General features: G+C 57.9%; 1 protein-coding gene across 5 annotated transcripts in view, besides 2 other annotated features; it reads right to left on the bottom strand.

Moving 5' to 3' along the window:
* The window catches only part of FRMD1 (FERM domain containing 1), a 39,962-nt gene extending 27,250 nt beyond the window's left edge, over positions 1 to 12,712 (bottom strand). For 2 of the 5 annotated variants that reach the window (XM_011536143.2, XM_011536138.2), the window contains exon 1: positions 12,627 to 12,712. Coding sequence is in view for 3 of the 5 variants with exons in the window: in XM_011536138.2 (XP_011534440.1) it covers positions 12,627 to 12,636 (10 nt within the window). In the remaining 2 variants the exon portion in view is untranslated. Of the gene's footprint in view, positions 1 to 998; positions 1,573 to 12,626 lie in introns of those variants that run through there. The other 3 variants (NR_110312.2, XM_011536137.2, XM_017011317.2) reach the window with 3 other exon arrangements.
* Positions 1,509 to 2,509: an enhancer, noted in NCBI's record as "H3K4me1 hESC enhancer chr6:168482533-168483533 (GRCh37/hg19 assembly coordinates)". NCBI's record gives its function as "activates a minimal SCP1, AML or CMV promoter by ChIP-STARR-seq in naive H9 embryonic stem cells {active_cell/tissue: H9 hESC(naive)}" and the evidence as "EXISTENCE:reporter gene assay evidence [ECO:0000049][PMID:30033119]".
* Positions 2,510 to 3,509: an enhancer, noted in NCBI's record as "H3K4me1 hESC enhancer chr6:168483534-168484533 (GRCh37/hg19 assembly coordinates)". NCBI's record gives its function as "activates a minimal SCP1, AML or CMV promoter by ChIP-STARR-seq in naive H9 embryonic stem cells {active_cell/tissue: H9 hESC(naive)}" and the evidence as "EXISTENCE:reporter gene assay evidence [ECO:0000049][PMID:30033119]".
* Positions 12,713 to 13,220: the final 508 nt, after the last annotated feature.

The raw sequence follows: 13,220 nt of genomic DNA on the forward strand, positions 1-13,220 counted from the left end.
GCAGTGGCGGTCTCTTTTCTCTCCACAGCAAACGTAGAGCTGTTCACTATGGAAGATGTGGGGATCCCTTTAGCTGAGAGCACAAAAAGTTTTAAAAATGGCAAAAAAACCACAAAAAAAAACAGCCCCAGAGAGCAGAGGCTGGATCCTCATGGCCCTGTGCCACTGGCGCCTGAGCAGCTCGTCCCTGTGCCGGGTGCCCTCAGCCGCTGCCTGGAGTCACAGTGCCGGCGTATCAGGAAGGGCGGCAGCAGCTGCACCTCTCAGGATGCCTGGGCGCAGGACAGTGGCAGAGGGCAGGCAGGGGCCAGGGTTGGGGGGTGGCAGAACACCACCGGCACACACAGCACAGAGGGGACAACAGGCACCAGGACCCCTCGGTGGGGAGAGCCGGGGACACGGTGGGGAGTTGTGCTGGGTGCACTAATGATCAAAGCGATGGTTCCCCACGTGTGTGCAGGTGCTGGTGTGTGCGGGCGCTGGTTTGTGCGGGCGCTGGTGTGTGTGGGCGCTGGTGTGTGCGGGTGCTGGTGTGTGTGGGCGCTGGTGTGTGTGGGCGCTGGTGTGTACAGGTGACCGTGGGCCAATGAGCTCCAAACATCATTAGTGAGAAGAAAAGGAAAAGGAATGGAAACTCCACATTTGTATTGATAAACACAATAAATGGATTCTTGTCAAAGCAGGACGTCCCTGGCCCCAGCTCCTTCCTTCCCACCCAGAGTCTCAGGGCCACACCGTTGAGGTTCAGACCTCCAGTGAAGGCCGCCGTCCATCTGAGTGCCAGGGAGAGCTGGGCTTGGGAAGCCCCCGTTGTATTCCTGGGAGAGCGCGGCTTTTTCCTGAAAACGTGCTGAGGCTCCAAGGCAAGGGTGGTCGCCATGAGTACCTCCCGCCAGGGCACTGAGGGGACACCAGAACCTCTGTCCTCAGCTCATCAAGAAGACAACTTTGCACCCTGAGAAGGCAGAGGCGTGACCGGGCCCCAACACTGACCCCACCTCTGAATGTCTTGTCTTCTCGACTGGCCTGTTCGTGATGGAAGAGGCTGGCCTGCCACGTTCGTGATGTCAGGGCCGGGCAGTGGACGGGCAGAGGCCGCGAGGAAGAGGAGACCACCGCCCAGATCTCCTCATGGCTGAGCCCTGGAGTCCTCCTCGGCCCAACTCTCTCTTCTTCTGGACGGCTGGTTTCCATCCTCTATCATGAGATAGATAGAGGCCTGCTGAGAACATTCTAGAACTCAAGCTTCGGAGCTCTAGGTCCACAAAGCACAGGTTTTGGAAAACAATGTGGGAATGCTGTTCCGTGGTGAGAAGGAAGGCAGAACTGACACAGGCACAGGACTAAACATCCCACTGCAAGGGAGAAGCTGGATGCAAAAGGCCGGGCTCCATTCCGAGACATCCAGCAAAGGCAGCATCTTCGGGGCCAGGGAGCTGGCAGCAGGGACTGCAGAGGGGCGAGGTGTCCTCTGGGGGTGGTCGGATGGCAGTGATGGCTGCACAGTTCCTAAATGCTCTGAAGTTTATGAAACATTTCGCTTTAGAGGAATATATTTTACAGTATGCAAACTATATCTCAATAAAGCTGTTAAAATACACAAGTTATAAAACAGTCACGCAAAAAGCCTTCAAGATACGGCAGGAAGTGCACCTGTGCGCCATAGGTCAACCCATTCCACCATGTGGGCGTGAGTGTGAGACACGTGGGTGCTGTGTGAGGGTGTGCCTGTGTGGATGTGAGTGGGCACATGCTTGCACACGTATGTTCACATGCAGCCTTCATGTCCGGGAATGCTAGGGCTGCCCACCTCTCCTCCACGTCCTCCTCTGCACAATCAGCAACACCGACTGATCCCTTTCTGCACGTCACAGACCCAGGCGAGGCCCTTTACCGACTCGGCTGCGATGGCCGCAACACCCAGTCTGTGGATGAGGAGTCTGGGCTCAGAGGCCAAGCTGCTCAGTGAGTGGCCAGCCGGGGTCTTGCTCCATGCTCAGCCTCCACCCCCACCATCGAGCCTGTACTCTGCTCTCTCCCTTCGGCCACCCGACCCCTCCTGGCTGAAATCCAAAAAGAAACCCGGTGTCTGCTGGAAGGAGCCCAGGGGTGCCCGCTGGGTCCCCAGGAGGTCCCTGCTGTCCGTCAGCACTGCGAGGGCTTCTCGCCGTGCTCAGTAACACACTTCCTCTCCTTGCATGTTTTCCCAGAAAAGAATGTTGGCCAGATGCAGCACATTTTACTCCTTTGGTAAGTAGGGAAACTGAGGCACACAGCAGCTAAGTGACTTGTTCAGGGCCCCAGGCTCCAGGATTCCCGAGACCCACCGCAAAGCTCCTCCCCGAATCTACTGACCCCCTCTTCAGAAATCATCTCAGAAAAGAGAGTTCATTCTTATGAACAAACCACGAAAGCCTCGTCTTCTGGGATGACTGAGGCTGGTATCTGGGAGATGCATCATCTGACTTTTGCTGCTCTGCCCAAGCGGATAGTGCAGGGCCTGGGTTGGGGTGCGCAGCAGGGTACAGGGCCTGGGGCAAGGTGGGCAGGGTGCTCCCCACCCCAGTTCTTCCCCAGGCACTGCAGGGTCCAGGTTGGGTGGCTTGTGAGTGTCCCAGGCAGCCACAGGAGCTGAGGAATCCAAGCCTGGCCCAGGGGCAGATGCTCTGAGGAGCCCCTCACCCGTGGTGAGTTTACATGTGGAGCGCCGGAGGTGCTTGCCAGAAAGGAAGGAAAAGGGCAGCTGGAGACAGCCCTGCGGAAGCCACGGGGCCGTATTTATTCACCACCTGCTCAGACCTCGTAAGGTCCACGAACACCCTCAGCCCAGTAAACAGGGTGGGAGGGTGCAGGGCCCAAGCCCATCACCCGTCTCTGTGGTGCTAGCTTCTTGGTCTTCCAAACTGACCTTTGGCTGTTGAGAAAGGTCAGTGATGCACTGCAGGGTGTCTCTGCTGTCTCAGACAGGATGGGCGCTGGAAAGGCCGTGACCTGCCTGCCTTATTTATCTTAGCAGCAGGAAGGGTAAGGCATTCCTGCAGGTGAGGCAGCGGTGCCGGCAGGAACCGCCCCAACCGAACTTCAAAAAGTGATTCAGAGAAAGGAGCCGCTGTGAACTAAGTGCCATGAAACCAGAACAATCTCCCATCGACTTGAATGAGAGGTTAAATCAACAAATTAACCCCAACGGGAAAGATGACGGAGAAGTCTGCCTGTTAGGACACTCCATGGGAGGAGGGCGTGAAGGGCAGCTGTGCACTCCCCATCAGGTGGCTGGGCACAGAGCAGACTTGAAAGGCCCCTCTGCCCCTTGGGAGACAGGGTGGCCAGTCCCAGGGAATGGGGCCGGCAGGGCTGGGGCCCCAGCCTTCAGGTGTGGACAGCCTCCCTGGCAAACACACATCTATCTGGGATCTGGAAAGTGTGACTTTCATCCTGTCCCTGGCCGGGGAAGACAGCAGAGCCAGGAGGGCAGGAAGATGGCTTACTGATGGCTTATTTCCTTCTCTTTTTGATGAGATGGGGAGGAGATCTCTCCCTTTCCAGCCTTTAATGTAAATCAATTTACTTGTTACAAAGTCTCATCTTATTTAAGGCTTCCTAAATGAGGGTCTCCCACACCTGGCCCCTCTACTGAAGCCTCACTGCAGGCCTGGGGACAGAGGGTACCCCGAGTCCTGTGGGTCCAAACTGAGGAAGAATAGCCTGCAGCTTCTAGCAACTCCCACGGCCTCCCAGGTGCAAGTTGTGAGGTGTCTTCTTGGGAGAAGACTAGAGACGGCAGGTGGGGTGAAGGAGAACCCCGTTTTCAGGGGTCTGCCTCTTCCTATTGGAAACAGCTCACCCCTGGGAGCTCCCCAGCTTCTAGGGATTAGACGGAAGCCTGGGGCATCATGAAGGCATGAAACCCATGCTTTAGTTAGAAAGGAAAAAGGATTAGGAGCCTCCAGGGCAGGTGGGGAAGGTAAGTTATTTCTTAGCACTGCGCGTGTCGGATTATGATGGACAGTGTATTTGTGTGTCTTCAGTTAAACACATTAACTGCTGAATTAAAAAAGCCATAGAGAGCCAACAATTACAGAATGCCCCTGACATGCTGCTCCTGCCATCTGTTAGAGGAGAACAAATCCCACAAAGAAGGGGGCTGGACGGCAGGGTTTTGGGGTGCCCCTGGACCAAGAAGAAAACCCCAGAGATGCAGTCTCGTGGGGGAGGTGCATTGAGCTTGGTCCCCAGACTGCCTCTTCCCGTGGGCCCTCCCTGTGCTGCTCCCAAACAAAGGCAGGCGTGCAGGACCCGGCTCCCTCCGTGAGAGCGCCTGCAGCCCCGCTGGCTCAAACTCACCTGCCCTTTGGAATGACAAGTGTGCGGAATTTTGTAGGGAAAAAGCCCTCTTGTCCCTTCTGTGTTATCCTCCCAAGACCAAGACTGACTCTGAGACCAGGACATAGCAGGCGTCCCATGGTCGAGAGGTCCCGCCTCCCACCTCATTCCTCCCCATCACAGGGAGAGAGCAAGGCCTGCCCCAAATGAGGGTGGCAACCAAACAGCCACAGCAGGGGGCTGGCAGCAGAAAAGGTTGAGGGGCTGCAGCAGCGGAGTGGGCTGCTGGGGGAGGGCGGGACCCACTGCAGGCCCCGTGGACGTGGGTGTCACTCCCTCCCGTGTTCCTGGTCTGTGCCAAGCAGACACATTCCCACAAAGGGCTGGCAGGTCCCTCCACCACCACTGAGCTCCACAGTCCCCAGCTTCTGGTTATAAGGAATATTTGGAGCAGTCGGTTGGCCCCGAATAGAGTCCCTGAGCCAGGCAGTCATTAACTGCAGACCAGGATGCAGGGGTGACCTGGATCCTAGAGAACTAGAAAGGCCCCAACCTGAGGGCCTGTGGGGAGCCAGGCCATTCTCACCTGATGCACAGTGTGGAAGCTGCAGGAACTGACTCCACCAGGCCTTCCAGAAAGTGGCAGCCGCCTGGCTCAGGATGGCCAACACTCCAGCCTCCCTCCACATGGCCACAGTGAGGCCGCCTGGAGGGAGGGAGACCTTGTGGCGGGGACATCGGAGGAGCCCTCTCAAAGGCTTGGGACAGCTGTGGGGGGCCTCTGGGCACTCCAGCCCCTGGGAATGTGCCCCTCTTGCCATTTCTATGAATGGCCACCCACAGCCACACGCCCCACCATGGCTCCCCAGGACGGGCCACTGGGCTCCAGGGGGTGTGCAGAGGAGGTCGGTCACTTTCAATGAAGCCACAACCTCTGTGAGAACAAAGGGACCAAGGAGGCCTGGACGGAAGGGCGTGGCCACCAGCATGGCCACCGTGAGAACTGCAGGGGGATCTGCAACTGCCTCCCAGGTGTCCCTGCTCCAAAGCCTTCCATGGCTCCCTATCGCCCAGCCATAGCATCCAAAGCCTTCCATGGCTCCCTATCGCCCAGCCACAGCATCCAAAGCCTTCCATGGCTCCCTATCGCCCAGCCATAGCATCCAAAGCCTTCCATGGCTCCCTATCGCCCAGCCACAGCATCCAAAGCCCGTGTGGTCCCTCGGCACACCGCAGAGCTGCAGGACTAGGGCAGAACTTCTGGAATGTTGTGCTGGGTGCTAATGGTGAATCACTTCAAAATTCAAAGTTTGGCGAAAAAGTGCAAAGAGTAGAACATAGAATTCACACACATTAAACAGAGTGGCCCCGTACCTCCCTGTCATGAGGGCTCCGTGGGATGCTGCCTGCCTTCCGGCCCTGGAGCCACCCCATCCCCAGCAGGGACGCCAGCCATGTCCCCAGCGTGGACACCTATACCCCAGCATGGATACCACCAATGTCCCAGCATGGATGCCCACATTCCCAGTGTGGACACTGCCCATGTTCCAGCATGGACACCCACATCTTCAGTGTGGACACCCGCGTCCCCAGCATGGACACCCGCGTCCCCAGCATGGACACTGCCCACGTTCCAGCATGGACACCCACATCTTCAGTGTGGACACCCGTGTGGACACCCATGTGCCCAGTGTGGACACTGCCCATGTTCCAGCATGATGCCCACATCTTCAGTGTGGACACCTACACCCCTAGCATGGATGCCCATGTCCCAACATGGACACTGCCCACGTTCCAGCATGGACACCCACATTTTCAGTGTGGACACCCACATCCACAGCGTGGACACTGCCCATGTTCCAGCATGGACACCCACATCTTCAGTGTGGACACCCACGTGCCCAGTGTGGACACTGCCCATGTTCCAGCATGGATACCCACATCTTCAGTGTGGACACCCATGTCCCCAGCATGGATGCCGCCCATGTTCCCACTGTGGACATGGGCCACTGGCTGTGCCTGATCATGCATCCCTTGGGCCGTCGTCTGTCACCCCCCTCGGCATCCCCATACTGCTGTCCTTGTGGAACAAGCTGGGCTTCTCCCTGTCTCCCCACACTGGATGGCACGATGTTCCATGGAAACTGTGGGGGCCGGGGTGAAGCCCATGTGACCCCGTTCTGCTCTGGTTTGTGCCCTTGGGCACCTGTTAGCCAGGACCTTTGCTCTTTGCCTGGAGTGAGCCACCCTCCTCCTTGAGGCCTGATGGAGTGACCCAGCCGCCTCAGAGAGCAGTCCCCGATTCTGTGGTCACCTCAGCCCTGCGCTCACCAGCCACTCACCTCTCCCCGCTCACACTCCCTTGGGCCTGGTTTTCAACCACTGATTTCAGTCTTGTTTCACTTTTTTTTTTTTCTTCATGTGGTGTCTTGCTCTGTTGCCCAGGCTGGAATGCAGTGGTGTGGGCTTGGCTCACTGTAACCCCTGCCTCCTGGCTCAAGCGATTCTCCCATCCCAGACCCCTGAGCAGCTGGGACCACAGGCGGGAGCCACCATGCCCAGCTAATGTTTTGTATTTTTTGGTAGACACAGGGTTTCTCCATGTTGCCCAGACCGGTCTCTACCTCCTGACCTCAAATGATCTGCCAACCTCGCCTCCCAAAGTGCTGGGATTACAGGCATGAGCCACTGTGCCCGAACTTATTTCACCTTTTTATGTGAGAAATTTTGCAGACAGTGCAAATGATTCCTCCTACAGAGTGGGGTACATGTTGGTCAGCAGAGTCTCCCACTCCGATAACAATGTCAGTCAACCCAGGTGCACAGAGAGGTTAAAGGGCCCTGTCAGCCGCACATCGTGAGACGGCTCTGTGGGGAGAACGCAGGCTGCTGTCCAGGTGAGGGTGCAGTGGCCCTCCTCCCACCACTCAGAGCTCTGACCTGCGTGGACTGGCGTGTGCAATGCGTGCGCTGGCATGTGAGATGCACGGGCTGGCGTGTGGAGCATGTGAGATGTGAGGACATCCCACTCCCAGGCTCTCAGGCTACTCTCTGGGGAGATTGGGCTCCTGGGTCACGTCCCTTAAAGAGGGGCTGAAGCAGGACCCATTCCTAGGTCCATCCCCTTCTACCGCTGTTCCCAGGGTCCCCAAGGACGCTGACCTCACCACCCGTCTGGGCACGGAGACCCCCGGACCCTCACACTTCCACCCCTCTCATGGTGCTTCCAACCCTGGCCCCAGATCACAGATTGAGAACCTCAGGACCTGGGAGGGGCGGCATGAGCCAGCAGGTCAGACACAGAGTGTCAGTGAGGGCGGGGCTCTGTGTGTGCTCCCAGCAGGGCCTCTCAGCCCCTGGGACCCTGCCCCGAAAAGGCTCTCTCCCTCTGGTTCCGAGTCTCCCCCGCAGGCCCTCACCCCACAACAAGCTGGGGGTTAGGGCGCTCTTCGTTCCCATCTTAGAGATAAGAAAGCCGGGGCTGAGAGAAGCTGGTGGGGGACGTCAGGGCCCATGCTGCCTCTGGGATGCTCCGGCTGGGGTCTCAGGGTGGGGACTATGTGAGCCCGAAGACTGCAGCCACCACCCTCCCGCCGTCACCTGCCCCTGCTGGGAGGCAGAGGCCCCTGGGTGCTCGGGTTCAGTGCCTGCTCTCCAGAGTCATTGGATTTTATTCTTGGAAAGAAACTGCGGGCGGGGGAGTGGCCGGGAGGCAAGGCGAGCACAAAGGCCTCTCAGCTGCTACTGCTGCCTCAGCTCTGGACTTTTCCCCTCCACCCAGAGGGCAGATGCTTGGAATTCTCCCTGCTGCCTCCCCCGGCATCTGATCTTCTCAGGCATAAACACTCGCCTTGTGGGACCTCAGCTGCTGCCGCTGTTAACTCAGCACTAAAAAGTGCTCTAACCTCCTGGAAGGAAGACAGGAGCTGTGAACCCATCAGGACCAGAGGGCCAGAGGCTCAGGCAGGGTCAGCTGCAGCCAGGCAGGTGGGAGGGCTGTGTAGAGAGAACCCCCAGGCTACCCTGTCACTCCTGTCCCAGGCAGGAGGGCTTTGTAGACAGAACCCCCAGGCTACCCTCTTACTGCTGTCCCCTGCACACAGCACCAGCTAGCACAAGCCTTCCACTGCAAGGCAAATGTTAACTCTCATAAACACATGCGCTACTAACCAGGTGTCCGTGTGACCCACCGGCCTGCCTGTCAACCTCCCCACTCCTTGTGTCCGTGTGACCCACCGGCCTGCCTGTCAACCTCCCCACTCCTTGGGCCTGCTCTCAGACACTGATCACACGTGCCCTGCTGAGAGCCCAAGTCCTCCCCGCCAGTTTGGCTCCTGGGGAATGGGAGCTGTGGCTTAGGGGAAGGGTACAATTTGGGAAATAAAATAACTTCATCCCAGGGCTGGCCCCACACCAGGGCCATACACAGGGGCCAGCAGCCTGCCTGGGGGGCTGCACTGGGTGGTGAGAGTGGGCCCTGACACCGGGCACAGGTTCAAACCCAATCAGCCTCCGCCAGTGGTTCCCTGGGGGTCCCTGGATTTCTGTTGCCTTTGCTCCCTCAGCTGTATAGGGAGATCCTTCTGCTGCCAGTGGGTGAAGGGACCCAGGGTGTGTCACAGCCCCTGGGGCACAGTCACTGTCAGCCTCACAGTGGTTTTTAGAGAACGTTTTTGTGGAGCAACACCAGCTCCTCCTCTAAGGCCCGTGGCCCTGGAGGGACTCTCAGGAGGCTGTGGCCGCTTCCTCCTTCGTTCAGGGACCAGCCTTGAGAAGGCGCCTGGGGTCTGGTCGGCTGTCCTCTCCCATGGGGAGCTGACCTCCAGGACACAGGTGGAGGAGGACCGAGGCAGGAATGGCCGCCTCCAGGCAGCTGTGTTTATCACGCACACTGTTTACCGTCACTGTGCACAGATAATCGACCATCAGCAGCTTCACTGCTGCTTCTGAATTCTCTATGAGGGTGCACCCCTTCCAGCAGCACTGGGGCAGGCCCCGTCTGTCCTCAGGTCCCTGGGAAGTTCCTGAGGGCCGCCCAGCGGGGAGCGGAAAATCGAAGGCGGACGGGCACAGCAACTCTGTTTTACACAGAGACACTGCTCAGGTTTCACTAGAAAATGGAACTCTGCTCCTAAAATCAGCGGGAAGCCGGGGCAGGTGAGGGAAAGCACGTGAGCCCCGCAGTGAGAACAGACGCTCCCATGGAGGGGCACGAATCCCGCTGGCGCTGGTGGTGCCCTGTCATCCGTTTATTTAAGGGACGTGCTGCCCTCCTCGCCGGCAGGAAAAGCAGCTGCTCAGCACTCGCAGCCCATCCTCCACCTGCTCAGGCTGTAGGATGCGGGACTCAGTCTCTCAGTCTCAGCTTGGCTCTCCACCCCGCGTCCAGACAGTGAGCCAATCCCGGCGGCGTTACCCCCAGAACCCACCCAGCCTCCATCTGACCCCGTTCCCACCTCCACGTCCACCACTGGGACCCACCCCTGGTTGGCTCGTCTCCCTCCTGAATGTTGGCAATGGGCTCTAGAGTCTCCTCTGCCATTCTTGTCCCTCTGCCCCCCACGCTCTCAGCCCCGTGATCATGCTGAACAGAAATCACAGCAGAGAACTCCTGCTCAAAGCCCACAGACGGCTCCCACCTCCCTCCTGAGCAGCTAGAGGCCTGAGAACCACCACAATCTCAAGTCCCTTGTGGGCTGGACTTGTTCGCTCTCTGGCCTCACCGTCTGCTCCCACTAAGGGGTCCCTGGGCTGTAGCCACCCTAGCCCCTTGCCTCCCTGCCCCTGGGCCTTTGCACATGCTGTCTGAGGAGCTCTTTCCCAGCGTGGCTGCCCAGCCCATCTTCTCCCTGTTCTCACTGCCGGCTCTGATGCTGCATTCATGGGGAGGCCTGTCGCAAGCCTGCATGTTCATGGCTGCATACGGCGTTTAGAGTAACTTGACCCCTGCCTGTTTGCCTGTTTGTTGTCTGTTTCTCCCTGGAAGGAAAGTTCTGCAAGGTCTTACTTGCTGCTGTTTTGTTCCCTTCCATCTCCCCACTGCTGAGAGCAGTTCTTGGCCATGGCGCGTGCTTAGCAATGTGTGCTGCGCTGAAGTTTGGAGGAAACAGATGACACCCAGGGCACACGTCCACCATGCACGGTGCTTCCATGTGATTCTCAGCCGCCCTCTTGGGGGCTACTCTGTCCATTTTACTGATCTGCCAATCGGGGCTCACGAAGCCAGCTCCAAAATCCAGGTCTCCTGGTTTCCATTCGAGGCTTGCCCACCGATCCAGGCCATTTGCTGGAGACCTCAGGTCGGCAGGAAGCCCTCACTGGCCACCCAAGCGGACTCCCGGCTCCGCTCTCTGCCCTGGGCTCCGTGGGGAGAAGGTGCCTGTAAACTATGGGGGGTTATGAATGTGAACCGCGAAAATGATCATGAATGTGAACTGCAAACTTTTCAGAGCTTAGTGCAAAAAGACAAAAGATAGCCCACACCTTCTTCCTGGTTCCACCCAACTTCCTGGTAACTAAAATGGTTACTGCCAGCCGATAATAAAAGGCCAAGGAGCCCCGGGGCTGGAGACCCTGCAGTGTGCGCCTTCCCGACACAGGGCCAGGCTGCAGGTGGAGATGCCCCTTCTCTGAATCCTCTTCCACGGACTCTGCTCTCTGTGCCCCAAAACTGCTCCAGCTGGTTTTTCTGCCTGGAATGTCCTTTCCACCTGTGTCACTGCCCAGAGCCATCTCTGTCTCCCCAGGCCCCCAGCAGAGTCCTCCTCAAGTCCTCGCCCCTCCTCTTGTCTCAGGGTCAGGCTCCTGGGGACTCCGTGGCCTCGGTCAGGTGTCAGCAGGATGGCTCAGGTTGGATCTCCACTGGGCGTCCTCGCCCTACAGAGCAGTGTCTCTGGAGCCGGTGGGCGGATCTTGATGCAGAAACCCTGGGAGAGGCTGGCAACTGCATTTGGCGGGGCCCCAGCATCTGTGTATCTAGCAAGTGCTGGTGCTGCCGGCCCAGGGACCCTGAGAACACGGCCTCCGAGTGACACATGGGCCCAGTAGAGGCCCACGGGCTGGAACCGAATCATAGCTCCTCAGACAGACAGGCTGGGATGCTACTCCGCGGAAGCGAAACGCAGTCACCCAGAAACAAAACGGCCTCTGTTCTGCAACCCCAGGTCCCAGACTAATAGACTCACTACAACGGGCCCAGCCATGCCTTCATTCCACTCACTCCGGATCAGGTGTCACTAGGAAGAAATGGTCAAGAGTGGCCAGTGGCCAGTGACCAGTAGCCCCACGTTCAGGTGTCCAGCACAGGCCAGTCGGCCTCCCCGTGAGGTCCTTGAATGAGCCAGGCTCTGTCCGGCCTCCACAGCGCTGCACTTCCTGGCCCTCTGCTGGGCTGCTGCTGGCTCATCTGTTGGCTCAAATGTCATCTCTGTGGACAGAGCGCTGCCAACCACTCAGCCAGGGGCCTCGCCAAGGATGCACCTGTGTGCCACAGTGCCCCGTCTGCTCTGAGGCTTGATGGGACCAGGATGGTCTTCCTTATTCATCTATCATGTGTCCTGCTCAGTGTCACAGCAGCTCCTCCACCCCACAGTCCTTGTGCATCTCCAGGACTTTGCAAAATGTTCTCGATAAAGACTCATTAAACAAATGCACACTGGGCTGCTCTGGACTGAAGGTCTGTGTCCCCCAAATTCACCACGTGGAAATTCTCACGCGAGGGGGATGGTGTTAGGAGGCGGGGCCTTTGGGAGGTGATGTGGTCATGGGGGTGGGGCCTCAGGAATGGGATTAGTGCCCTGTATAAGAGAGACCCTCCGCCCCTCCATCATGTGAGGTTTGGGAGGTGATACAGTCATGGGGGTGGGGCCTCAGGAATGGGATTAGTGCCCTTTATCAGAGAGACCCAGAGAGACCCTCCACCCCTTCATCATGTGAGGACACTGCAAGAAGGTGCCGTCTGCAAGGAAGCGGCCCTCACCACACACCAAATTGCCCAGTGCCTTGATCTCAGGCTTCAAGCCTCCAGACTGCCAGGGCTGATTGTCTGTTGTTTAAGCTCCTGGTCTGTGGGATTTTGCTACAGCATCCTGAAAGGACTAAGACACTGTCCCAATCCAGTCACCACCAGGGTGACCTCTGCGGCAGCCACCCCGTGAGCAGGCCTGGCCAAAGACGAGAGGACAGAGGCAGCCTTGACCCTGGACAGGCACACAACGTCGGTGTATCAGTCAGTTCTCACACTGCTCATAAAGACATGCCCGGGAATGGGTACTTTATAAAGGAAAGAGGTTTAGAGGACTCACAGTTCCACATGGCTGGGGAAGCCTCACAATCGTGGTGAAAGGTGAAGGAGGAGCAAAGAGATGTCTTCTATGGCGGCAGGCAAGAGGGCGTGTGCAGGGGAACTCCCCTTTATAAAACCATCAGATCTTGTGAGGCTTATTCACTATCATGAGAATAGCACGGGAAAACCCGCCCCCGTGATTCAGTGACCTCCCACCGGGTCCCTCCCACCACACATGGGGATGATTACAGTTCAAGGTAATAACCTTGGGTGGGGACACAGCTCAGCCATATCAGTTTTCATATCACTGAAAACAGGTCCTGGGATCCAGAGCTCTCAGAACTCAAGGTCACGGTCATCATTCATCAAACATCCACAGCCTGGCCTGTCAGCAAGTACCACCGACGGCTGTGAGCTGACCGGCCCCACCTCACACTCGGCCATGCCAGCCCTGTGGAAATGTCGCCCCAGACCTGACAAGCAGCCTGCAGTGTAGACATTTGCTGAACTTTCACAGGAGACTCAGGCTTCCTGGACCGAGCCCGGGGCTCCCACTTGCCGGGCAGCATCCTAGGAATTTAAATCAAGGCAAACTCAGTCTTTGTAAGGAACC

Source organism: Homo sapiens, chromosome 6, assembly GCF_000001405.40.
Source record: "Homo sapiens chromosome 6, GRCh38.p14 Primary Assembly".
NCBI lineage: Eukaryota > Metazoa > Chordata > Mammalia > Primates > Hominidae > Homo > Homo sapiens.